We start from the raw sequence: 24,474 nt of genomic DNA, 5'->3' as shown, positions 1-24,474 counted from the left end.
TGTGTGGGCCATCGTCACAATCAAGACAATGGACATGAGCCTCAGCCCCAGGAGTTTTCCTCTGACTCTTCTGTTTCCTTAATGCCCAACCCACCCTGGCCCCTAGGCAATCACCGATTTGCTTTTTGCCACTATAGATTGGTTTGTCGAGATTTTGATTGGGATTGCATTGAATCATTAGATAAATTTGGGGCAAATTGCTATCTTATAAATATTGAATCTTCCAGTCAATGATCATGGTATCTCTCCCCGTTTGCTTATTTCGTCTTTATTTTATCTCAGTACACATTACTATTATTATTATTATTATCATTAGAGATGGAGCCTGGCTCCCAGGCTGGAGTGCAGTGGCATGATCTCTGCTCACTGCAGCCTCCACCTCCCGGGTTTCAGCTATTCTCCTACCTCAGCCTCCTGGGTAGCTGGGATTACAGGCACCCACCACCACACCTGGCTAATTTTTGTATTTTTTTATTAGTAGAGACAGGGTTTCATCATGTCGGCCAGGCTGGTCTCAAACTCCTGACCTCAGGTGATCCTCCCGCCTCGCCTCCCAAAGTATTAGTATTAGAGGCATGAGCCACTGTGCCTGGCCTGTACACATTATTTTATAGCCTTTAGTGTAGAGGCTTTACATGTATTTTATTAAATGTATTCCTAAGTATTTGATGTTTTTTATGGTATTGCAAAGGTATCACTTTTAATATCAGTCATTACAGTGTATAGAAATGTGTCTTTCTCTATTGCCTTTTTATCCTGTGACCTTGTTAAATTTGCTTTCTAGTAAAGCAGTTAAAAGATCCCTTAGCATTTCCAACATATATAATATTATCTGTGAATAAAGACAGGTCTATCTCTTTCTTTCCATTTGTAAGCTTAAACATTTTTTTTCCTGCTGAGTTTCCCTGGGCAGGCCCTCCAGTCTAATGTTGAAGAGAAAGCTCACATCCCTGCCTTGCTTTGAATCTTCGGGAGGAAGCATTTATTCTTCATGGTGATGTGTGATGCGAACTGTAGAATTTTGTTGAGCTTTGTTTGTACACACCTTCCATCAGGTTGCGGAAGTATCTTTTCATTCCTAGTTTGCTAAGAGTTTTTTCTGACAAATGACCGTTGAATTTTATCAAATGCTTTTTCTGCATCTGTGGAGCTGGTCATATGGGTTGTCACCTTTATTTTGTGAATCTTGATTCATCTTGTAATGAATTACAGTAATTGAGTTTTGAATGTTGAAGATCTGAAAACAATATTTCATCTATTCCTCCCCTCCAGTTTTATAATTATTAACGGCAGCAGGGCAAGTGCCGTACCTTCGTGGCTGAGAGCAGCCACTCGAAACCAGCTCTGCTAGAACTGCACAGTCAAATATGATCAACAACCCAGGGTCACCTGATGAAAGGTGTGACCAAAATAAACTATCAGCAAGAAGCAACTTGGAGGAAATGATACTATGGAAAGAGAAGAAAAAGTTAAAAATACCATCACTGATCTCCTCAGAGGAATAAGACATCCTTCTATCAGAACAAGCAGCCATAAAACAGAACAGGAGTGCTTAGAAAATAAAAATATTACAGCAGAAATGAAAAACTCAATAGAAAAGCTGGAAACTAAATGCAATCCACTATGGTAGAAAGCAGAACAAAAAAGACACAGAGGGCCAGCTGCGGTGGCTCAGACCTATAATCCCAGCACTTTGGGAGGCCGAGGCGGGCCGATCATGAGATCAAGAGATCGAGACCATCCTGGCCAACATGGTGAAACCCCATCTCTTCTAAAAATACAAAAATTAGCTAGGCATGGTGGTGCCTGCCTGTAGTTCCAGCTACTTGGGAGACTGAGGCAGGAGAATCGCTTGAACCCGGGAGGCAGAGGTTGCAGTGAGCCGAGATTGCGTCACTGCACTCCAGCCTGGTGACAGAGCGAGACACTGTCTAAAAAAAAAAAAAAAAAAAAAAAAAAAGACACAGGGAAAATAGAAGAGAAAAGGTAAGAAAATGAGGGGAAAGCCCAGAAGTTCCACAAGGAGAGAACGGAAAGGCAGAGGGAAGCATTTATCAAGGAAACGATGAAAACATTTTCTACTTGCAGGACCACTGATTGTCCAGAAAAACGGATGAAAATAAACCAAGACCAAACAGATGACCGTGACATTTCATGATGCTTAGGGACAGAGAAATGAAGCTGGGGGATGGGGAGGAGGAGCTGTATACAAAAGATGGGGGAAAAGAATATCTTTTAACTTCTCAATAGCAATTTTGGGAGTGAGAGAACCGTGGAGCAATTCCTGCAGAATTCTACACCCAGTGTGCTGAAAATGATTGCTGTGAACAAAATTCCTTTATCCATGAAGTTTGGCCAAGAAGATAATTTGCAGGACTTGAGCAGCAGATGGGGTGTAGTAGCCGTTACTTTCTGAAAGTCTCTGATTGATGACAGGGTTCTGCAGACGTGCCCAGTGGGTTCCAGTTTATTTTCAGAGTCTTTCTTCTTCACCCACACTCTTCTTCCTGCCAGCCCCACTGACCACCTGCGGCCCCAGGCCCATCTCAGAGGCAATGGCTTCTCCCAGACCCTCCCTAAAAACCCCTCCGGCTTGTTCTCACATCTATGGCTGGATATGCTTGGCTTCAGGGGTTTTCCTGAAAGCCCTGACTTGTCCACCTGTGTGGACAACAGGTGGCTAGTGACCCTCTGCCCATCTGTACCTTCCCTTTTCCAACCCCTCTCACTATTGTGCAAGGTCTAATTTTTTCTTTCTTTCTTTTTTTCTTTCTCTTTCTTTCTTTCCTTTTTCTCTCTCTCTCTTTCTTTCTCTTTCTTTCTTTTTCTTCTTTCTTTCTTTCTCTTTCTTTCCTTCCTTCCTTTTTCTTTCTCTTTCTCCTTCCTTTCTCTCTCTTTCCCCTTCCTTCCTTCCTTTTTTCTTTCTTAAATGGAGTCTTGCTCTGTCACCCAGGCTACAGTGCAGTGGCACGATCTTGGCTCACTGCAACCTCTGCCTCCAGGGTTCAAACGATTCTCCTGCCTCAGCCTACCAAGTACCTGCAACTACAGTCTCGTACCCCCATACCCGGCTAATTTTTTGTATTTTTAGTAGAGATGGGGTTTCACCATTTTGGCCAGGCTGGTCTCGAACTCCTGGCCTCAAGTGATCCACCCTCCTCGGCCTCCCAAAGTGCCGGGATTACAGGCATGAGCCACCATGCCTGGCCACAAGGTCTAATTTCTGCAATAACATCCATACTAGCTCTGCTCCCTAACCAATCACTGTCTGATAGAATTTTTGGCATCTTTTAGAAGTGTTTCCAGGGAGCAGAAACAAATGCGTAGCAATCTAGAATTGATTTTCTGGTTCGACTAGATTTAAAGGCATTAACAACCCCATGGCCAGAGGTAATTAGGAGATTTGTCATCCATGGCATACGTTGGCAAAGCAACTACTTAAATCATCACTCAGGGTCTCCCAGACCAAGTGCCTATAGAGGCAAGGCTTTGAGTGACTGAGAAGCTGCAGCCGAGAATGTTTTAGTGACCATGAGGAATAGACGGACAGTGGGTCTGGCTGGTGACATGTAAGTGTTTTGGGGAATTTGGAGAAGGAAATGATAGCTCAGGATTGTAAATTCCCAGCACAAGTTCCAGGTTGGGAAGACGAGAGTGCCTCTGACTTCCTGGAAAGACATCCTCATCTCTTTTAGCCACAGGATTGAGAGATTTTTGAAAACCCATCCCAAAGTCTAATCTTGCAGGTGAATGCAGTTTAAGAATGCAATTAAATTCACAACACCTCATATCTAAATTAGAATGATTGGGAAAAAGCAAGACTCTCAGAATTGGAATGAACGGACACCTGGGCAGATTGTGATGAAACCGAGCACCAGCGACCCCTGAATCCTGCTATGCATCCTTAGTTCAATAGAGGCAGCCTCTCCTCCTGCGTGTGTGGAGGTCAGTCTCCCATTGCCTAAGAGCCTGTAGTGACCTCTTCTGAGATGGCCGATCCCCACCACCTCTCATTTCTTCCAGACCTGTCACTAGACTCATGTCCAGTTGGCACCAGGGCGCTGGGTACAAAGAATGACCAGGAGGAAAGTACACTACCACAGCCAGGCTCACCTTGGGTGTATTGCACGTTTGGTTCCAGACCACCACAATGAAGAGAGTCATAATAAAGCAAGTCACACAAATGTATTGGCTTCTCAGTATTATATAAACTGGGAAACGTTGCCCAGATCCATCAGGCAGCTACAGCCTGAGGAAACGTATTTCTTAAATAATAAGACTTGAAAGTCAAAATGACTCCTTGATCCATGGGCTGCAGAATGGATGAAGTGTTTTGTTTGTTTGTTTGTTTTTGAGACGGAGTCTCACTCTGTCGCCCAGGCTGGAGTGCAGTGGCACAATCTCGGCTCACTGCAAGCTCTGCCTCCTAGGTTCATGCCATTCTCCTGCCTCAGCCTCCCGAGTAGCTGGGACTACAGGCACCTGCCACCACTCCTGGCTATTTTTTTCTGTATTTTTAGTAGAGACGGGGTTTCCTTGTGTTAGCCAGGATGGTCTCGATCTCCTGACCTCATGATCCGCCTGTCTCGGCCTCCCAAAGTGCTGGGATTACAGGCGTGAGCCACCGTGCCTGGCTGGATGAAGTGTTAGCAGGCATGAAAACAACATTCTTCTTATACATCTCCATCAGAGCTCTTGGGTGACCAGATGCAGAGTCAATGAACAGTACTATTTTGAAAGGAATCTTTTTCTGAGGAGTAGGTCTCAACAGTGGGCTTCAAATATGTAGCAAGCCATTCTGTAAACAGATGTGCTGTCACCAGGCTTTGTTGTTCCATGTATAGAGCACACAGGCAAAGTAGATATAGCATCCTTCTTCTTCTTTTTTTTTTTTTTTTTGAGACGGAGTCTCTCTCTGTTGCCTAGGCTAGAGTGTAATGGCGTGATCTCGGCTCATCGCAACCCCCGCCTCCCGGGTTCAAGCAATTCTCCTGCCTCAGCCTCCCCAGTAGCTGGGACTACAGGTCCCTGCCACCATGCCTGGCTAATTTTTGTATTTTTAGCAGAGACGGGGTTTCACCATGTTGGCCAGGCTCATCCCGAACTCCTGACCTCAGGTGATCTGCCCACCTCGGCCTCCCAAAGTGCTGGGATTACAGCTGTGAGCCACCGCACCCGGCTGGTATAGCATCATTCTTAAGGGTCCTAGAATTTTCAAGGTTTTCAGAATCGCAAATTAACATTGGCTTCTACTTAAAGTCACCAGCTTCACTAGCCCCTCGCAAGAGAGTCGATCTGTCCTCTGAAGCTTCAAAGCTAACCATTGACTTCTCTTCTCTAGCTATACACTAGATGACATTTTCTTCCAATAGAAGGCTATTTTATTTACATTGGAAATCAGTTGTTTAGTGTAGCCACCTGCATCGATGATCTCAGCTGGATCTTCTGGATAACTTGCTGCAGCTACTCCATCAGCACTTGCTGCTCCACGTTATGCTTTTACGTTAAGGAGACGGCCTCTTTCCTTAACATGCTGTGGCTGCTGGGATCTGCCAATCCACGTCACTCAAATTTCACATCAGCAAGAAGGCTGTTTCAATTTCTTAGCATTCTATGTTCACTGGAGTAGCACTTTTTTTTTTTGTTTGTTTCCGGAGAGGAGTCTCACTGTGTCAACCAGGCTTGAGTGCAGTGGTGCAATCTCAGCTCACTGCAACCTTCACTTCCCAAGTTCAAGCGATCCTCCCGCCTCTGCCTCCCAAGTAGCTGGGATTACAGGCATGCGCCACCAGGCCCAGCTAATTTTTGTATTTTTAGTAGAGACAGGGTTTCACCGTGTTGGCCAGGCTGGTCTCGAACTCCTGACCTCAGGTGATCCACCCACCTCGTCCTTCCAAAGTGCTAGGATTACAGGTGTGAGCCATTGTGCCCGGCTTGGAGTAGCACTTTTAATTTCCTTCAATAACTTTTTCTTGGCCGGGCACGGTGGCTCACACCTGTAATCCCAGCACTTTGGGAGGCTGAGGCAGGCGAATCACCTGAGGTCAGTAGTTCAAGACCAGCCTGGCCAACAGGTGAAACTCCATCTCTACTAAAAATACAAAAATTAGCCTGGCGTGGTGGCACGTGCCTGTAATCTCAGCTACTTGGGAGGCAGAGGCAGGAGAATCGCTTGAACCTGGGAAGTAGAGGTTGCAATGAGCTGAGATCGCTCCACTGCACTCCAGCCTGGGCAACAGAGTGAGACTTTTTCTTTGCATTCACAATCTGGCTAACTGGCTCAAGAGCCCCAGCTTTTGGCCTGTCTCAAGCTTTTCACATGCCTTCCTCACCAAGCTTAGCCATTTCTAACTTTTGATTTAAAGGGAGGGATGTGGACTCCTCCTTTCATTGAAAACTTAAAGGCCATTGTAAGGTTATAATTGGCCTATTTTTAATATTACTGTGTCCCAGGGAATAAAGAGGCCTGAGGAGAGGAAGAGAGACAAGGGAAAGATGGGTGGGCGGAACCCTTAGAGAACACACGATATTCCTCCATTAAGTTTGCCGTGGTTTTTGGCGCCCCAAAACAATGACAATAGCAATGCCAGGGATCACCAAAGGCATAGTCACCACACTAGACAAGGAATCCAGCTGCAGTGCTTGCTTTGGGCAGAGGAAATACCGGATGAATACAGGAGAGGAGGCCCTACACACCAGGCACAGCCATGTGAGCGGTGGTGGAAGGGAAGGGGGTCAGTTAGGAGTACTCACACTTTATGCTGTTGTTACTAACATTTTCAATCACATTAACCAATTATTATTATGATTATTTAGAAGGAATTTTGCTCTTATCGCCCAGGCTGGAGTGCAATGGTGTGATCTCGGCTCACTGCAACCTCCGCCTCCCAGGTTCAAGTGATTCTCCTGCCTCAGCCTCTCGAATAGCTGGGATTACAGGCACCTGCCACCACGCCCAGCTAATTTTTGTATTTTTAGTAGAGATGGGGTTTCACCATGTTGGCCAGGCTGGTCTTGAACCCCTAACCTCAGATGATCCACCTGTCTCAGCCTCTCAAAGTGCTGGGATTACAGGCATGAGCCACCACGCCCGGCCCCCATATTAACCAATTATCATTTCCTTCTTCCATTCCCCTGCTATCTCACATAAGCTGTGTTCATCGTGACTGGCCTTACGTCTTGATACTTAAGTCACAGGATGTCAAAGAGGGAGTGACTCAGCCAGAAGGGGGATTGCCCCCTTCGCAGATGGAGAAAGTCTCTTTTTGAGGCTGGGAGGGTAGAAGGTTAGTGCACTTTCGATTTTAATAAGGAACAGTTGCATCGTGTGAGGAAGCAGCCTGATTTCATTGCTGTCTTTATTAGGAAGTTAAATATAGTGAGAAGGGGTTTGTTTAGATGGCAGGCTGACAACTCGCGGGCTGTTGGCAGGCAAAAGCAAGCAGGCTGCGCTCCTCTGAGCGACTTTGTGATCGGAGATGGGGAGAGACCGCTGCACAGGTGCTCCGTGAGTTCCAGGGTGTCCGCACTCTTCCTCACCCTGGGTCCTGCTCATGCTCCCCACCGTTGACCCTGCTGCCCCGACAGTGGCCCTGGGCTTCCCCACAGAGGTGGCAGCTGCAGAGGCAGCAGCTCCTGCAGCCTCTTGGCCAGACCTCCCCCGGCGCCCTGACCCGTGCAGCTGGATGTGCGTGACTTTCTCATGACTTTCCTGCAAGCTCCGAGCTGGCCTCCTGCCCCAGGCTTCAGGAGGGCTGGCTGCTGAGTCTTTCCTGACTCTCCCGCTCCCCTCCTCCCCAGCTCCGCTCCCCTGCTCTTCCTAGGATTGTGCAAGGTCTCATTCCTATGATGGGCCCCTCCTCCCACAATGCTCATTGTGGCTTCTCTTCCTGGACTGAACTGGGCCTAGGATAACCACTCAAGCCACTGATCAGCTAGGAGAGTAGAATAAAGATATTTCGAGGCTGGGCACGGTGGCGCACACCCGTAATCCCAGCACTTTCGGAGGCCAAGGCAGGCAGATCACGAGGTCAAGAGATCAAGACCATCCTGGCCAACATGGTGAAACCCCGTCTCTACTAAAAATACAAAAATTAGCTGGACGTGGGCCAGGCGCGGTGGCTCACGCCTGTAATCCCAGCACTTTGGGAGGCAGGTGGATCACGAGGTCAGGAGATCAAGACCATCCTGGCTAACACGGTGAAACCCCGTCTCTACTAAAAATACAAAAAAAAAAAAAAAAAAAAAAAAAGCCAGGTGTGGTGGCAGGCGCCTGTAGTCCTAGCTACTCGGGAGGCTGAGGCAGGAGAATGGCGTGAACCCGGGAGGCAGAGGTTGCAGTGAGCCAAGATTACGCCACTGCACTCTAGCCTGGGCGACAGAGTGATACGCTGTCTCAAAAAAAAAAAAAAAAAAAAAATTAGCTGGGCGTGGTGTTGTGCTCTTGTAGTCCCAGCTACTCGGGAGGCTGAGGCAGGAGAATCGCTTGAACCTGGGAGGCAGAGACTGCAGTGAGCCAAGATTGTTCCATTGCACTCCAGCCTGGCAACAGAGCGATACTCCTTCTCAAAAAAAAAAAAAAGATATTTCGAGTTTTGCAATATAGCAAACACTTTGTATGGGCTTGTATGACAATGGATATAGGACAATGGACACAGACACTCCCACTCAGGAAAGAGGAGAAGGAGCATCTGGGGCACCAGCTTGCACCGAGGCACTGTGGACCACAGTCTGGCGAGAGCCTGAGCCTGCTGGGGGCCCCAGGGGAGAGCTTCGAGAAGGGAATGCTTCGAGGGGTAGACAATTGATAGGGAGTTTGGTAACAGGAACTTGGGAACAAGCTAAGAACAAAACAAAGCAAAGAATATTAACTTCAGAAAGACAAAATGTTGTTTAAGGAAGTGTACATAGCATAGTGTACTCTGCGATCAGCTGTGAATAGCATTTTCATAGTCATTGCGATGTGAACACTGATGATTGATTCTTTTTCTTTTCTTTTTCAGCCTGAGTTTCACCCTGTCACCCAGGGTGGAGTGCAGTGGTACTATCTCGGCTCTCGGCAACCTCTGCTCCTGGGTTCAAGCGATTCTCCTGACCCTGTCAGGGTGAAGGAAGGGGAGACCCTGTTGGCATCACAAGAGAATCTGGGTCAAGCCATGCCTGAAGCTGGTCAATCCAGGGCCCTCTGCATTTTAGGAGCCAGTAAGTTGCACTTTTTCCTTAAGTCAGTTTGAGCTGGGTTCTGACCTGGTCGGTAACAGACATCACACTGCATTCTTGCATCAACTCGGCAAGTCGCCACCTGATCTCTAATTTACTGCTGTGGGGAGTGAAGGTGGGGAAGGAGAGGGTCAACGTCTGCTCCCTCCTGTCTCTGTGATCCTCAGATATGAGTTACGGCCTGGGGCCCGAGCCGGGCTCTCACTGCCTTGAGGCCCATGGTCCTCACTGCTGACCACCTCTGTGTTTCTCCTTTCTCTAAGAAGCCCGTTGGTGGGAGAAGCCACCCTTGTTCTCAGGCAGACACCTGCAGATCGCTCAGCCTCAGTTGCTTTCAATCCCAGCAAGAGAGGCCTACCGCTCAGAAGTTTTCTTTGCCATGAGTGGAACTTCAGATTTTTTCTGTAAACCTGTGAAGCAGCTCAGCTTCACAGAGAACTCCAAACTCTCACGCCTCTGTGTGACCTTGACCAAGTTCATTAACCTCTCTGTGTTTTACTTTTCCCATCTGTAAAATAAAGTGGGTGGATTAGACCAGCACTATAATAGACATGGAATTTGAGCCACATACAGAGTTTGTGGCTAAAGTTTTCTAGCAGCCACGTTTAGAAAAGAAATAGGTAAAAGTATTTTAATAATACATTTTATTTAACTCAATATATCCAAAATATTGGTACAACATGGACTCTAGATGAGTTGTTAAAGAGACATTTTGCAATTTATTTTATTTTATTTTTTTGACATGGAGTTTTGCTCTTGTCACCCAGGCTGGAATGCAATGGTGAGATCTCGGCTCACTGCAACCTCCGCCTCCCAGGTTCAAGCGATTCTCCTGCCTCAGCCTCCCGAATAGCTGAGATTACAGGCATGCACCACCACGCCCAGCTAATTTTGTATTTTTAGTAGACACGGGGTTTCTCCATGTTGGTCAGGCTGGTCTCCAACTCCCGACCTCAGGTGATCTGCCCGCCTCAGCCTCCCAAAGTGCTGGGATTATAGGGTGAGCCACCACACCCGGCCACAGTTGCTTGCTTTCTCACGAAAGGTTTAACACAAGCCGGTAACTCTCCTGGGTGGTGTCCTCCATACAGTGACTCAGGGACCCAGCCAGGCCACTTTCATGTTCTCCAGTGAGGAGGAGGAGGAGGAGAGAGCTGGGCATGGCCTGGCTGTGCAGACCACCCTATCCCATTGGGCAGAGCTCAGGAACATGGCCCTACCTTAGTGCAAGGGGGGCTGCGGGTCAGAGTCTTCCTCGGACCTGGGAAGATGAGCGATGCTTCCAGTGAATGGTTTTGTCCGCCTCAGGGCCCTTGCCCATTCTCTCCCCTCTGCTTGGAATGTTCTTCCTTTCCCTTTTCTGGGGATTAAGTTCTGCTTATCTCTGGTGGGATGCAGTGGCTTACGCCTGTAATCCCAGCACTTTGGGAGGTGGAGGCGGGTGGATGAGTCAGGAGTTCGAGACCAGCCTGGCCAACATGGTGAAACTCCGTCTCTACTAAAAATACAAAACGTAGCTAGGCATGGTGGTGCCTGTAATCCCAGCTGCTTGGGAGGCTGAGGCAGGAGAATCACTTGAACCCAGGAGGCAGAGGTTGCAGTGAACCGAGATCACCCCACTGCACTCCAGCCTGGGTGACAGAGCAAGGTTTCATCTCAAAAAAAAAAAGGAAAAAAATTCTGCTTGTCTCAGATCAAATGTCACTTCCTCAGGGAGGGCAGGGGCCTGGGAGCCAGGCAGGGCTGGGTCCTGCAGGCGCAGTTACCCACCACCCATGGCAGGCAGCAGCAGGAGCTTGGGCTTTACCCCTGACCTGGACAACGGAACTGAAGGGTTTCCGGGGCCTGCGGGAGGTACAAGGATGGGATTTGCATTTGAAACCAACCTCTTGGGCTGGATGGAGAGCCGATACTGATACCTCTATTTTTAAGAAAGGCCAACTCTCTTGGTGCCCTGAGCAAAGCAAAACTCTGCGTGATGCCAACTTTGATGAACAATCTCGTCTCCATTGAAATATTTTACCCACGTGCCCAGGAAAAGGCTGATACGTTATTCAGCCTCACAGCTGCCAGGGCAGAGGGGCCCCCGGCTGTTTCCTCATGAGCTGCCTTTGCTAGGCCAGGGCCCGAAGAGGAGCCCAGGGAGGCCGGCGCTTTCAGGGAGCAGAGATCGAGGCAGCCTTGAGTCTTCTCGGCTTCTCAGCCAAGGGCCTGAGCCCGGTCACTTCTTTCATGTTTATGGAGCTTAATGAATGCTGAGGGCAGGTGGCCCAGGCCCTGGGCCACAGACATGAGACAGGAACAATCCTGAGCTATCTCAGTGTGAGGTGGGGACCGACGTCCAGACAGCTAGAAAGCAACAGGCGGACAGAGAGCAACAAGGGGGCATGGGAGTCCAGGTTGGGAAGGACAGCCAGGTCGGGCATGCAGGAAAGGGTATGTCCAAGCTGGGTTCTAAAGGTTGAGTAGGAGTTCACCAGGTGTAGGAGGTGACTGAAAAACATCCCTGGCAGGGACAAGCAGGGGCCAAGCTCTTGAAGGTTGCAAGGGCACAGGGCATGAGTGTGAGCAGGACAGGACATGGGACTGCAGATCTAAGCAGAGGCTGGGTCCTGGAGAGCTTTGAATATCAGGACTATGAGTTTGGACTCAGCCCTGGAGTCCTATGGAGCTGTTGACAGGGATTAAGAAGGGAGTGACATGGATCTGTAGTTCACAGAATGGATCCCAGGCATGCAGAGCGATCCACATGCCTGAGAGTGACCCCGGACTGGACTTCAGAGTTGAAAAAGACAAGCTGGGCACGGCAGCTCCTGCCTGTAATCCCAGCACTTTGGGAGGCTGAGGTGGGCAGATCACCTGAGGTCAGGAGTTTGAGACCAGCCTGGCCAATCTGGTGAAACCCTGTCTCTACTAAAAATACAAAAATTAGCCAGGTGTGGTGGTGGGCACCTGTCATCCCAGCTACTTGGTAGGCTGAGGCAGGAGAATCATTTGAACCTGGGAGGCGGAGGTTGCAGTGAGCCGAGATCATGCCACTGCACTCCAGCCTGGGCGACAGATTGAGATTCCGTCTCAATAACAAAAGAAAAAGAAAAAGACATGGCCTGCCCTTGGGTAGCTCCGTGTCTAATGGGCGAGGTCTGAGTGACCTGAGTACCCTGGAAATTAGGTGGTAGCACCCCTGTTTACAGATGAGGATCTCAACGCTCAGAGAAGTGAGGGAATTTGCCCAAGATCACAAAGTGTGGAGGAAAGGCAGCCTGGAGCTGACCTTTAGCAACTGATCACCGCTCTGGGCTTCTGTCTTCTCAGTCGTCAAATGGGGACACAAGACCCACTGACTTGCTGGGATGCCGAGAGGTGAGGGTCGATCTGTTTCCCCGGCGCCTGACACAGGGTATGCTTTATCAGGGGCTCATGAGTGCGTGCCCTTTCCTCTCCTCCCCCTGCCTCTCCAGCCAAGGAAACCCAGGCTCCCTGGGGGCATTTTCTCAGGAATGTCTCCCAGGCCAAGTCCCCCTTCTAGTTCCACCCTTACTAGCCCCAGAGAATCAGGGCAGGATTGGGGGTTCAGTGAGAACCCAACCTGGGCTAAGGGTGAGGCCGGTTCAGTCCCAATAATAATGGCAAATGTCAGCAGAGCCTGAGCCAAGGGTGTGCTCAACTTATCACATCAAACCTCAGATTAGGTAAATCCTATCAGTCCCATTTCACAGGTAAGGGGAAACTGAGACTCAGAGTCCCACCCAAGGTCACCTGGCTGCTAAAGGGGGAGCTGGAACCCAAACTGCAGGTCCTGAAGGCAAATCCCATGCTCTTCCCTCAATACCCTGCACCCAGAGTGAGCACAGCTCAGGGAGAAGTCCTGAGCCCAGGCTTGAGGGTGACCAGGGTCAAGGTGGAGAGCTGGGCCGGGCCCCCACCAACAACCAGCAGCAGCAGATCCCATGCACCTGAGACCACGAGCAAACAACACGTGCGGGATACCTGGGCCAGGTGTAGCTGATTTGCATATACTGTTTCTAGGCCTCTTGCTGGCCTTTCCTTGGGGCCTGCGCTCAGTCACAGCGAGGGAGGTGGGATCTGAACTCAGGTAAGTGTCACTCCAGGCCACATGCATCCCCTGCTGCAGGCTGCCCGAAGCTCTCCCTTCTTGCTATGGATCCCCGGCAGGGAGCTTAGGGCTGGCACCTGGGCCCGGGTGAGCTGGGTGGAGATGGGCTGAGGTGCCCATGCTGGGCTGTGGGAGGCAATGGCACCCTGTCGAGCCAGGGTGGGCTTGAGCTGGGAAGAGCTGGTCTGAGTGGCTGTGTGGTTCAGAGGCACCTGCTCTGCCTAGCCGTGGTCCACATTTTGTGGGTCACTGTGCCGAAGTCCCACATCCTCCCCGATGTCCTCACTGTCTCCCCTGCTCTGCCCACTTCAGCCCCTAGCACATGTGGAGGGAGCCCCATTGAGTGAGTGTCCCTCTGTGCCACCTGCTTGGATCTAGTCTGGGCTGGACACACTGGGGACAGAGGGGCAGGTCAGGCCCAGGCTCTGCCCTTGACGAGCCTGGGGCACGTAGAGGAGCTGGAACCTGTGTGCTCAGGTATCAGCAGGACATGGGGCTAGGGGGAGCCCCTGGAGGAGGGGATGTTTCAGCTGGGTTATAAAGATGAGTGAAATTTCACCTGGGAAAGAGGAGAGGCCAGTGCATGCTGAGCGTGGGGTGGTGTCAGCAGAGCTCAGCGGAGGGCATCCAGGCTGGACAGGGCTCACCTCCCCGATGCCCCAGCCTCAAGCGTTCTCCCTGCTTCTTCCTGGATTGTGAGGTACCCCGGTGGCTTTAAGCCCCTTGGGTGTGCTGGGCTTACTCCCCTCATCACTACCTTGATCCTGAACCCTTTCCTGTCCCCACCTGCCCCCACTTCCTAACAGATGGCCCCAGGCCTCTCAAATGACACAATGCTGAGCAATGCTGATGATGCAGAGGTAAGAGGGTGTCCTGAGTGAGAGCAGGGACCCTGGAGTCAGGCTGCCACTGTCCCCTCCAGGCTCTGCTTCTCAGCTGTGCAGCCCTGGACAAGTTACTTAACCTCTCTGTGCAAACTAAGAAGGTGTCAGGAAGTCAAGGGCCAGGAGGCTTTCGGGCAGGTGGACTGGGTGGGGTGTGGGGACAGTGGAGGGGGCGGGTAGGCAGTGCAGGACTGAGGCTGACTGAGGCAGGGATGAGTAGTGACAGCTTCTCTGTGTGGCGCCGCCTCAGGGGTGGGGCTGGCTATGGGGTCAGGCCAGGCTGAGGCAGAAATGGAGCCTGGGCTCCGTGGATCCACAGAGCTGCTCTGAAATTGAGAGCCACGCTGTCCCCAGGGTGCACGCTTGGCCCAGCCCAGGCCGGCTCTGGAATCCTGATGGTTGAGTATAAACGTGCTGCAGATAAATGTGGCCTCGCCCTCTGGATGAGGCAGGGGAAGAGGCCCCCGCATGCACAGCAGCCGGCAGAGTGGAACGTGCTGATCCTCTCAGGAAGGGAACCTGGCGATTTCTGCTGCAACTACCTGGTGCACCTACACTTTGACCCGCCAGCCCCACTTGCAGGAATCTGTCCTATAGAAACCCCTGCCCCGCCCCCCGCCCGCCCCCGCCGAGCACCCCTCCGGACAAGAGCGTCCAGGCGAGGAAATTCACAAAGCATGACTTACAGTAGCAAAAAATAGAAATAGCCCCTAAGTCGATCAATAGGGGGCTGACTGGATAAAGTGTGGAGCAGAAGAAACTTAAAGACTGCCATTTGTCAATAAGACTATGCCCCTAAGTGAAAACAGCCACTCAAAGCGCTACACTCTGAGTAAGAACATAGATTTGCTATATTTGCATAAAGAAACACTTTCGGAAGATGCAAAGAGAAATGAATGAAAACGACAACTTCAGAGGCAGGGGCAGAGTGTGGGAGCCTGCCTAATATTATAACATAGAAGTTAATTTGTGTTTTGAATGGAGTTATATTTATTGTTTATTTGAAAGCTTTAAAGAGTAAAATAAGAACGTTCATTAGAAAGCTCCCCTTAAGAAAAGCATCTGATTTTCTCCACGTTCTGCTTTTGCTATGAGCCATTCTCTCAGCCCCGCCTGACTTGGTGATGTTCCTGGGCCGTGGGGAATGTGAGATGCTGAGTGGATGCCCACGTGGGGTCCAGGTGGGCAGAGGGAGAGTCTGAGAGGGCAGGGATGGCTGCTCCCCGGCCAGGGAATGCTGCGGAAACTGGCAGCCAGAAGCGAGGGATGCTCATGTGCAGGGACTATATAGCTTCCCCTTTAATCTGGAGAGCAATGCCTTGAAGGAGGCTCTGTGATGCCCATTTCACAGATGAGTAAACCGAGGCTCCTAAAGGTGAAGTGACTTGCCCAAGGCCACGTGGCTGCGAGGCAACAGGATGATAAGTCGAACCCAGATCAGTCTTCCTCTGCAGCCCGCACTGCTGGCCAGGGAGCTGGGACCCAGGAGCCCGGCAGTCACACACAGGGAAGGGGGAAGGGGCTGCTCAGAGCGGTGGAGCTCAGCCTCCCACTTCATGCCCACGTGGGTTCTGCCCCCGTCTGTTCAGGCTCAGAGCAGGGGCCAACCTTAAAGGCTCTGATGCATCTGGCTGGGGTTAAGGCTGAGCCTGAGAAGGTTCTGGAGCAGAGCCAGAGCCAGAGCGGAGGCACATCACTGTGGGCAGAGCTGAAATGAACAGGTGCAGGGCACAGACACAGGAGCCTGGCATGGAGCAGGAGGCTGAGGCTCCTCCTGGCCAGATGCCAAAGAGAGGTGAGGGGCTGACACTGATGCCCCTGCCTGAGAGCCATGACAAGGAGAGGTAGAGCAGAGCCTGCCAGGCTCCATCTCCCCATACACTGAGAACAACTGCTCCCTTGCTTGCCGATCATTCTTTTTTTTTTTTTTTTTGAGATGGAGTTTCGCTCTTGTGGCCCAGGCTGGAGTGCAATGGCGCGATCTCAGCTCACCGCAACCTCTGCCTCCCAAGTTCAAGTGATTCTCCTGCCTCAGCCTCCCAAGTAACTGGGATTACAGGTGCCCACCACCATGCCCAGCTAATTTTTGTATTTTTAGTAGAGATGGGATTTTATCATGTTGGCCAGGCTGGTCTTGAACTCCTGACCTCAGGTGATCCACCCGCCTCGCCTTCCCAAAGTGCTGGGATTACAGGCGTGAGCCACTGCACCTGGCCGCCAACCATTCTTAAGGTCTGCCGTGAGCGCGCCAGCCGGTGTCTCCCCCACATCTCCCTCATGGGCCCCAGTGGTGGGAGTTCGTCCTTTCTGCAAAGTGAAGCACTCGAACCTCTGCACATGTTCTTGACCACCAAGGATTTGAGGCTAACAAAGTGCTCTTGTATCTGGCATAGGTTTTGTGAAATTTCCCTCTGAGGCTGCTACTCTGATGGTTGGTGTTTCTGGACTGACTGCAAGAGGCCATCCTGGTGGGGCTGGACCCCCTTAGCTCTGGCTGATGAAGCCACTGCTCGGGACACCCAGAATCTTGGCTCCTCCAGGTACATCAGCCTGCATGGGTACGGGTGCACTGTCTGTGAGCACTGACTGTGTGCTGAGGCCTGGGCAGATCTTGGGTGGGGACACAAGCAGCCCTATGGCTCTCATAACTCCTGTGCCTGCAAGGCTCCCAGGAAACCCTACGCCCTCAGCTGAAAATATGCTGGAAAAACTCCCCTGGGACCCTGGCGTCAACACCGCCCCCTCTTCTTTACCATCACTTCTTTCCCTGCTTCTCAGTCAGTGTTTCCATTCTGCACTCTATTAACCAATACTTGTTCTGATGCTGGAATCGTGAGGCCTTTCTTCTTGATCAGGCCAACTCCTACTCATCCTTCAAAACCCAGAAATGCCACCTTCTTTGTGAACCTTTCCCAGTTCCTCCAAGCAGATACTCCCTCACTCCTGGTGCTGCCAAAACACCGTGTGAATGAGAGACATGACCCCAGCTGCCCTGGGGAGTTTCCCATGGGGATGAGGGTGCTCTCTCCATGGGGATGGCATCAAACAGAGACCCGGCAAGTGAGGGCTGGCAGTGCTCATCTACAGGAGTACTAGTGCAAAGACCCAAAGACCCTAAGTGGGCAGCCTGCTTGGCAAGTTTGAGAAACAGCGGGGAAGCCAGGAGCAGACAGCAGGGTAGGGGAGAAGCTGGGGAGGGAGGAAGGAGTAGGAGTGAGGTGACGCAACTGAATGGCTCGTTGCAACACACCGCACAGTAATGACCACTGTAACCCACCCATTCTCACAGCACCCATGTGGGAACTTAGACCCCGGAGGCAAGGGACAGGCTCAAGGGCACACAGCCATCCAGTGGCAGAGTCAGCATTGAACCTGGGGCTGTCAGTCCTTGAGTTCATGTCTTGCGGCATCACCTTGCAGCATCCCTTAAGGGGCAGAACAAGAGGCTGAGTCCCATGTCCCCACTGTCACTCCCACCTAGCTGGTTACCCTGTAGACCTGGGGCCCAGGTGGGCCAGGCTTCCCTCCTAGGAGGATCCCTCCTGACCCCAGTTGGCTTGGCTGGCTTGGCTCTAGCCTTCTGCCTTTATTTCTACATAAACAGCTCCACCATAAATGTGAGGGATGCCGTCCCTGGTTGCTGCTCCTATGTGGTCCCAGGCCAGAGAGGCTCTTGCCAATGCCAGTGTATTTGGTGGAGGCCATGCTGGCCTTCCTGGAAGAGCCCTGTGCAGAGTGAGTGGTGCAGGTGCCAATGTGTCATAGTCATCTGCCTCTCCAGCACCTGCCACTTGAGTATGAGTCCTGCCACTCAAGGGGCTATATGCCAGGCCCTGTGCGGGGCACTGTATACACGGAGCTGACCCTCAGGCTCTCATGGTCAGGGGGTGGACATAAATGCAGACCCAGAGGGTGACCACACAATGTGCTCAGGGCTGTGGCACAAGGGAGTTCAGGAAGGGGAGAGGGAGCCCAGAAAAGGCTCCTAACATTGTTGGGGGAGGGTGCGGCAGGGTGGGGCTTGGGGGTTTTCTTGCTATAGAAGAAACAAAACTGATCCATCATATTAAAGCACAGGACGTCAGTTCCACTCCTTCCTTCTATCCATTCATCCATCCATATGCCCAACCATCAATTCACTCACCAATCCTCCCATCCACCATTCATCCATCTATCCATCCATCCATTCACTCACCTATCTACCTACCCACTCGTCCACCCATCCATCCATCCATCTACCCACCCACCCATCCACCCACCCACCCATCCACCTACCCATAGATCCATCCACCTACCCATCCGTCCATCCACCGACCCATTCATCCATCCATCCATCCATCCACCCACTCACCCACCCATCCACTCACCCATCCATCCACCCACCTATCCATCCATCCACCTACCCGTCCATCCGTCCACCTACCCATCCATTCATTAACTTATCCATCCATCCACCTACCCATTCATCCATCCACCGTCCACCTACCCATCCATCTATCCATCCATCCATCCATCCACTCACCTATCCATCTACCCAGTCATCCACCCATCTGGCCATCCATCTACCCACCCACCCATCCACCTACCCATAGATCCATCCACCTACCCATAGATCCATCCACCTACCCATCCATCCATCCACTGACCCATTCACCTATCCATCATCCATCCATCCATCCACTGACCCATTCACCTACCCATCCATCCATCCATCCATCCATCCATCCATCCATCCATCCACTCACCCACCCATCCACCCACCTATCCATCCATCCATCCACCTACTCATCCATCCATCCACCTACCCATACATTCATTAACTTATCCATCCATCCACCTACCCATTCATCCATCCACCATCCACCTACCCATCCATCTATCCATCCATCCATCCATCCACCCGTCCACCCACCCACCTAACTACCCACCTGTCCCTCAAATACTTGTGTCTGCTCTGTGCCATACTCCAAGGATGCTAAGCAAAGTTAAACCTAGTCCCTGGCCTTGACCCCTTGCAGACCTCAAGCCCTAGGACTTGGTATTGACTTTCCTCAACCTTTGTTGGCCTTGATGCTGGAGGAGGGAAGAAGGGCAGGGGCTGAGAGCCCAGAGGCAGTGCCCAGGGGCATGGTAGATTCAGGAGAGGACATCTGAGATGAATCTAGTTAGATCTGAAGGAGGACTCCAGGCAAGGGGTGAGAGAAAGGGCTTTAGGCAGGGGAGAGAGGTCAGCCCAAGCCAGGGCAGGGAAGCCAGGCCAGGGCAAGAGGTACAGGGAGTTGAGTCAAGTTGGGCCAGGTGTGCTGGGTCCATGAGGCTGGAGGAGTGAGCAGGGCCAAACCTAGGCTGGCCTGGGGTCAGGCTGCAGGGTTGGAGGCAGCTCTGACAGCTGGACCTGGAAAGGCCAGGATCTGCCTGGGGTTCGATGCTGACCCTTCACGCAAGCCCTCTGTGTGGGCCAGTTCAGGTTAGAAATGATGGGCCAGGCACAGTGGCTCATGACTGTAATCTCAGCACTTTGGGAGAAAGCAGGGGCATTGCTGTCAGATGAGGGGGGCTCCAGACTTGCCTGAGCCATCTCAGAGCACTGGTTAAGTGTCTGAGCTCACAGATCAGGCATCCTGGGACTTGAATCCCGGCCCTGCCACTTCCTGGCTGTGTGACCCTGAGAAAGTGACTTAGCCTCTCTGAGCCTCCACTGCTGCATTTGCAATGTAGGGAGTGCCAATCACCCGGAGTGCCCAGAAGCCTCCGGGAAGATATCAGGGTCGAGCTGAGTCATGAGGCTGAGAAGGTCGGCCTGGTGCACAGGAGGGTAGGGACTCAGGTGGTGAAAATGAGGGCAGGTGCAAAGGTGACTGAGGCACGTCCTGGCTGACATTTGGGCTCCAGGTCTGGCTGCCAGCGTTCAAATCCCTGCTCTGCCACTTGCTAGATGTACAGCCCTGGACACCTGACTTATCTCCATGCCTCAGTGTCCCATATGTAATTGGGGATGACAGCAACACTGTTTGCCACACAGAGCCGTTGAGAGAATTGGAAGAGGAATGCGCGTGCAGCGTTGTAAGCAGTGCCCGTGTGCCGAAAGCACTGTGCAAATGTTAGTTAAGGTTAACGCCGTGTGACTCATCGGAGAGTGCTCTCATCTCTTTAGGCTTTTTTATCTCCCGCTCTCTGCAGTGGAGAGCAGCTTGAGGAAATAACAGCATGAATGCAAATTCTTAACAGGCAAACAGGTTTCCAGTCCCGCTGCTGACGACCTTCTCATTGGCATTGAAAAAGAGCGTTTTCGGCTCCCTGCTCAGACGCTGGCGGCTTCTGGGTGACAAGCGGCTGTCAGATGCTTTTAACAAGACTTAGGTTTTAGCGGGTCAATCAAGGTACCGACCGGACCAGGTTTGGGATAATTAGGTCCTTCAAAAAGGCCTCCAAGAAGGACATGGATAAAACCTTCTCCAACTTTGAGTCCAGTGACTGTGGGCACAGGTGTCGGTGGTAGTTCCTCAGCCACAGGCTCCCCTGCCAGCCCCAGGAATCTCTAGCATCTTGGGCCCCAGGATGTCCCACCCCAGAAACAGGTGATGTTGCTGCCAGGGATTCCATCGCCTGGAGCAGGCAATGCCAGGGGCTTCGCTACCTCCCCACATCCCCTGGAGGAGTGGGCGGGCTCCAGGGCTATTGGAGGAACCCTCCCTGCGCCCGCCTCTGGCTGTTGAGCTAATAAACAGCTGTTGCCTCTTTGCATCCTAGATGGATCCTGGCACCACATACACCCAGAGATTTCTGCTAATTAAAGTCAGGTTTTGACATTTGAGGCATTTTGCTGAGACGGGAGCTCATGCCCTGCGGGAGAACTGAAGCGTCCGGTTCTTCCTAAGCTCGACCCCAGACAGCTGGGCGTTATGAGGGCAGACATCCTAATGCTTTTGTTTATTTATCGGATGCATTTGTACTCTTCCCCACATTTCAGAGAGGGTTGGAATCAGCCTTAAGAACAAGTTTGTCTTGATATGGGGAAAAAAACCCCCACACAGCTTTTGGAGTCAGAAAGGACTGGGTATGAATCCTTTGTATCACTTTGTAGCTGTGTGTCCTTGGACAAGTCACCTCACCCCTCTGAGCCTGTTTCCTCATCTGCACGATGGGAGCATGCAGTGCCTCCATTGTTGGACTCTATTGAAGATACAATGAGATCATGAGATAAAATACCATTGCTGTTTCATAGATGTTTCCAAAATAGGCTTGTTTAAAATGCTAGCTGGGTGTGGTGGCTCATGCCTGTAATCCAGCACTTTGGGAGGCTGAGGTGGGTGGATCGCTTGGGGTCAGGAGTTCAAGACCAGCCTGGCCAATACGGTGAAACCCCATCTCTACTAAAAATGCAAAAATTAGCCCGGCGTGGTGGCACTTGCCTGTAATCCCAGCTACTTGGGAGGCTGGGGCAGGAGAATCACTTGAACCTGGGAGGTGGAGGTTGCAGTGAGCCGAGATTGCACCACGGCACTCCAGCCTGGGAGAAAGAGTGAGATTCTGTCTCAAACAAATAAATACATAAAAAATAAAGTGGTTCACAGAATAAGAACAGAAAAGTTAAGTACAGGAAAGAAGAGGCAGGGGATGCCTACTGTTGCACAGTGCAGGGGCTGCATCCTTGCCCCAGGCCTGCCCCTTTCCACCTGATGTTCTTTGGGTACTGCCCAGGTCCTGCCACCTCCTGCCCTTGGACAGAGATGACCTATTCAGGTCTGGGCTGAGACACAGAAATCAAGTGCCAGGGCGACTGAGTCACAGAGCCTGTCACCCGGAGAGAAACTGTTTCTCCTGCACGGGGATGGATGGGGTAGAGAGAATGAAGCCAGAGGCACGGAGTGGAAACCCCAGGAAGCCTCCAGCCCAGCAGCTCTGCTCTGAGCCATTCTTAGGCTTTCCCAAACTTCTGCATTATCCTGAAAATAAGCCCCTCAACTTTGTGTAAGTCTGATTCTTGGAATCAAGAGGTACCGACACAAAGGGAATACATCACGCTGAACAGAGCTGCTGGGAAGATGGTCAAGCCTGGCTCCAAGAACGGGCCGTGGGGGCAGGTTCTTGGTCCTGGAGAGAAGAAAAGATCGTGGGGGCTTCTCAGGAGAGGCAGAGCTTTTCCCAGCCTGGATGTAAGACTGTGGCCTCAAGTGGAGCTTCCTGCGGGGGTCCTGGTGAATGACCTGGATGCAGTGCCCAACCTTGTCACTGTGGCAAAGGCCAGGGCCACCTTATGGCCGTGTCTGGACATGAGATTCCCCAAAAGCCGAGGGTGGGATGTAGACTCTTTAAGATGTGCTAGGAAAGCTGCTGTTTCCAAAGGCCAGATGGCCACCACCATGCCATGGTCACAGTAGGGGATGGCAAACCCACCGCCCCAGGCAATGGTGGCGATAGAGTGAGGGTGCGGGCTGGTTAGGTGCTGGTGGGATGAAGCTGGCTACTGCCCTCCACTTTCTCTCATTTCCCCACACAAGACCCATGGGGGACCCCGAAACTTCCACCAGCAGAGCTGATGCAGGTACGGCGGTGCCTCTCTGCAGCCCACTGCTATGGCTGGCATGTCCCCGCGTCTCCCCTGGAGCCGATGGAGGGACCACGGGGGCGTCCCTGCTGCTGCCCTTGATGCTTGCAGCGCAGCGGCCCAAATGTCCCTGTAAAATGAGGCTGGTCAGTTCTCTCCTCTGCACAATACCTGGAGGCATCTCACTCAGAGTGAGAGCCAATGGCCATAAGTGACCCTCCGTGAGCTGCTCACCGCCTCCTCTCCAGGCCCGATGCCAGCTTCCTTGTTTGTGCCCTTGACCTTGCCAGGCACACAGCCCCCACATCCCCAAGAGCCTTGACTCTGCCTGAGGAGCTCTCCCTCCAGGTGCCCGCAGGCCTTCCCTTCCCCAGGCCTCCCTGACCACCGTGGGGTAGGACACTCCACCCTGGGTGCTCCCCACCTGCCTTGTCTGTTCTTACCTCCTTCCAGCACTGTAAGAACTGAACCTGTCTACTTCCTTCATGCTTTACCATCTTTCTCTCCCTGCAGGAAGATAAGTTCCCCAGGGACAGGGACTCCTACTTGTTTGTTCACTGATGTGTCCCATGAGCCTAGAGAAGTACCTGGATCAGAGTCCCTTCTCAGCAAAACTGCCAGGGTGGAACGGATTAGGACCTGTTCCTGCACTAGCTGAAGCCAGGATGCATGGCACACCTTTTCAAAAACCTCCTTTGGGTCGGGTGCAGTGGCTCATGCCTGTAATCCCAGCACTTTTGGAGGCTGAGGCAGGTGGATCACCTGAGGTCAGGAGTTCGAGACCAGCCTGGCCAACATGGTGAAACCCCATCTCTACTAAAAATACAAAAATTAGCTGGGTGTGGTGGCGGGTGCCTGTAATCCCAGCTACTCTGGAGGCTGAGGCAGGAGAATTGTCTGAACCCGGAGGCGGAGGCTGCAGTGAGCCAAGATCACGCCACTGCACTCCAGCCTGGGTGACAGAGCGAGACTCCATCTCAAAAGGAAAAAAAAAAAAAAAGAAACCCTCCTTTGAATGAACCATAAATATTCGTTGCCCCAAGTTAAAAAAAACTTAATTATACGTTAATATATAATAAACATGTATTTGCATTTGTATATAATAAACATGTATTTGTATGTAATATGTAATCATAATGTAAGAATTACTTGAAGAAAATTTGGGTGCAAACCTCATATTAAGAGGCACATTTGCCTCACTCTTCCTCCCAGGGACAATGATGACAGCCTTTTCGTGCAGCTCCTACCAGTGTTCCTTTGAGGGGTGTGTGACTGCCAGTATGACTGCCCAGGAATTTGGAGGGTGAGGCCAGGAAACTCCAGGAGAGACGGTGGCCTGTGTGGCGTTATCACGGGGAGGTGCAGGTTGGCACCTAAACTTGATCATGCTACTCTCCTGCCTGAACACTCTGTGGCTCCCACTGCTCTTAGGATGAGACTCCAGCTCCTTGTTCCTCCAGCTGCCTCCTCACCCTGCCTTGCGCCATTCCCCTGCCTTGCTCTTTGGCCCTCAGGCCTACAGCTTCTTTGCTGGTCCCTGGGTGCCCCAAGATCTTCTCCTCTTGTTCCCAGTACCCAGGATACTTGTTACCTGCTACTTCCTCCTGGCTGGGCCCCCTGGCCCCACGAGGACAGCTTTTTCTGGATGACCTGGCTAAGTGAAGGCTGGATCCTTCATTCCTCTCTGCAGCCCCTTTTGTTTCAGA

General features: G+C 51.6%; 1 long non-coding RNA gene across 1 annotated transcript, besides 4 other annotated features; it reads left to right on the top strand.

Annotated features, from left to right (window-relative positions):
* Positions 7,635-8,162: an enhancer, noted in NCBI's record as "H3K4me1 hESC enhancer chr22:44946331-44946858 (GRCh37/hg19 assembly coordinates)". NCBI's record gives its function as "activates a minimal SCP1, AML or CMV promoter by ChIP-STARR-seq in naive H9 embryonic stem cells {active_cell/tissue: H9 hESC(naive)}" and the evidence as "EXISTENCE:reporter gene assay evidence [ECO:0000049][PMID:30033119]".
* Positions 9,003-23,892, top strand: LOC105373059 (uncharacterized). The gene is made up of 3 exons (XR_938300.2): positions 9,003-9,201; positions 16,614-16,760; positions 20,449-23,892. It is a non-coding gene; the product is annotated as an uncharacterized LOC105373059 (long non-coding RNA).
* Positions 12,867-13,420: an enhancer, noted in NCBI's record as "H3K4me1 hESC enhancer chr22:44941073-44941626 (GRCh37/hg19 assembly coordinates)". NCBI's record gives its function as "activates a minimal SCP1, AML or CMV promoter by ChIP-STARR-seq in primed H9 embryonic stem cells {active_cell/tissue: H9 hESC(primed)}" and the evidence as "EXISTENCE:reporter gene assay evidence [ECO:0000049][PMID:30033119]".
* Positions 13,976-14,530: an enhancer, noted in NCBI's record as "H3K4me1 hESC enhancer chr22:44939963-44940517 (GRCh37/hg19 assembly coordinates)". NCBI's record gives its function as "activates a minimal SCP1, AML or CMV promoter by ChIP-STARR-seq in naive H9 embryonic stem cells {active_cell/tissue: H9 hESC(naive)}" and the evidence as "EXISTENCE:reporter gene assay evidence [ECO:0000049][PMID:30033119]".
* Positions 14,531-15,085: an enhancer, noted in NCBI's record as "H3K4me1 hESC enhancer chr22:44939408-44939962 (GRCh37/hg19 assembly coordinates)". NCBI's record gives its function as "activates a minimal SCP1, AML or CMV promoter by ChIP-STARR-seq in naive H9 embryonic stem cells {active_cell/tissue: H9 hESC(naive)}" and the evidence as "EXISTENCE:reporter gene assay evidence [ECO:0000049][PMID:30033119]".
* Positions 23,893-24,474: the final 582 nt, after the last annotated feature.

The sequence above is a fragment of the Homo sapiens genome, chromosome 22 (assembly GCF_000001405.40).
Source record: "Homo sapiens chromosome 22, GRCh38.p14 Primary Assembly".
Lineage (NCBI taxonomy): Eukaryota > Metazoa > Chordata > Mammalia > Primates > Hominidae > Homo > Homo sapiens.
This window is presented reverse-complemented; position numbering and strand designations above follow the sequence as displayed.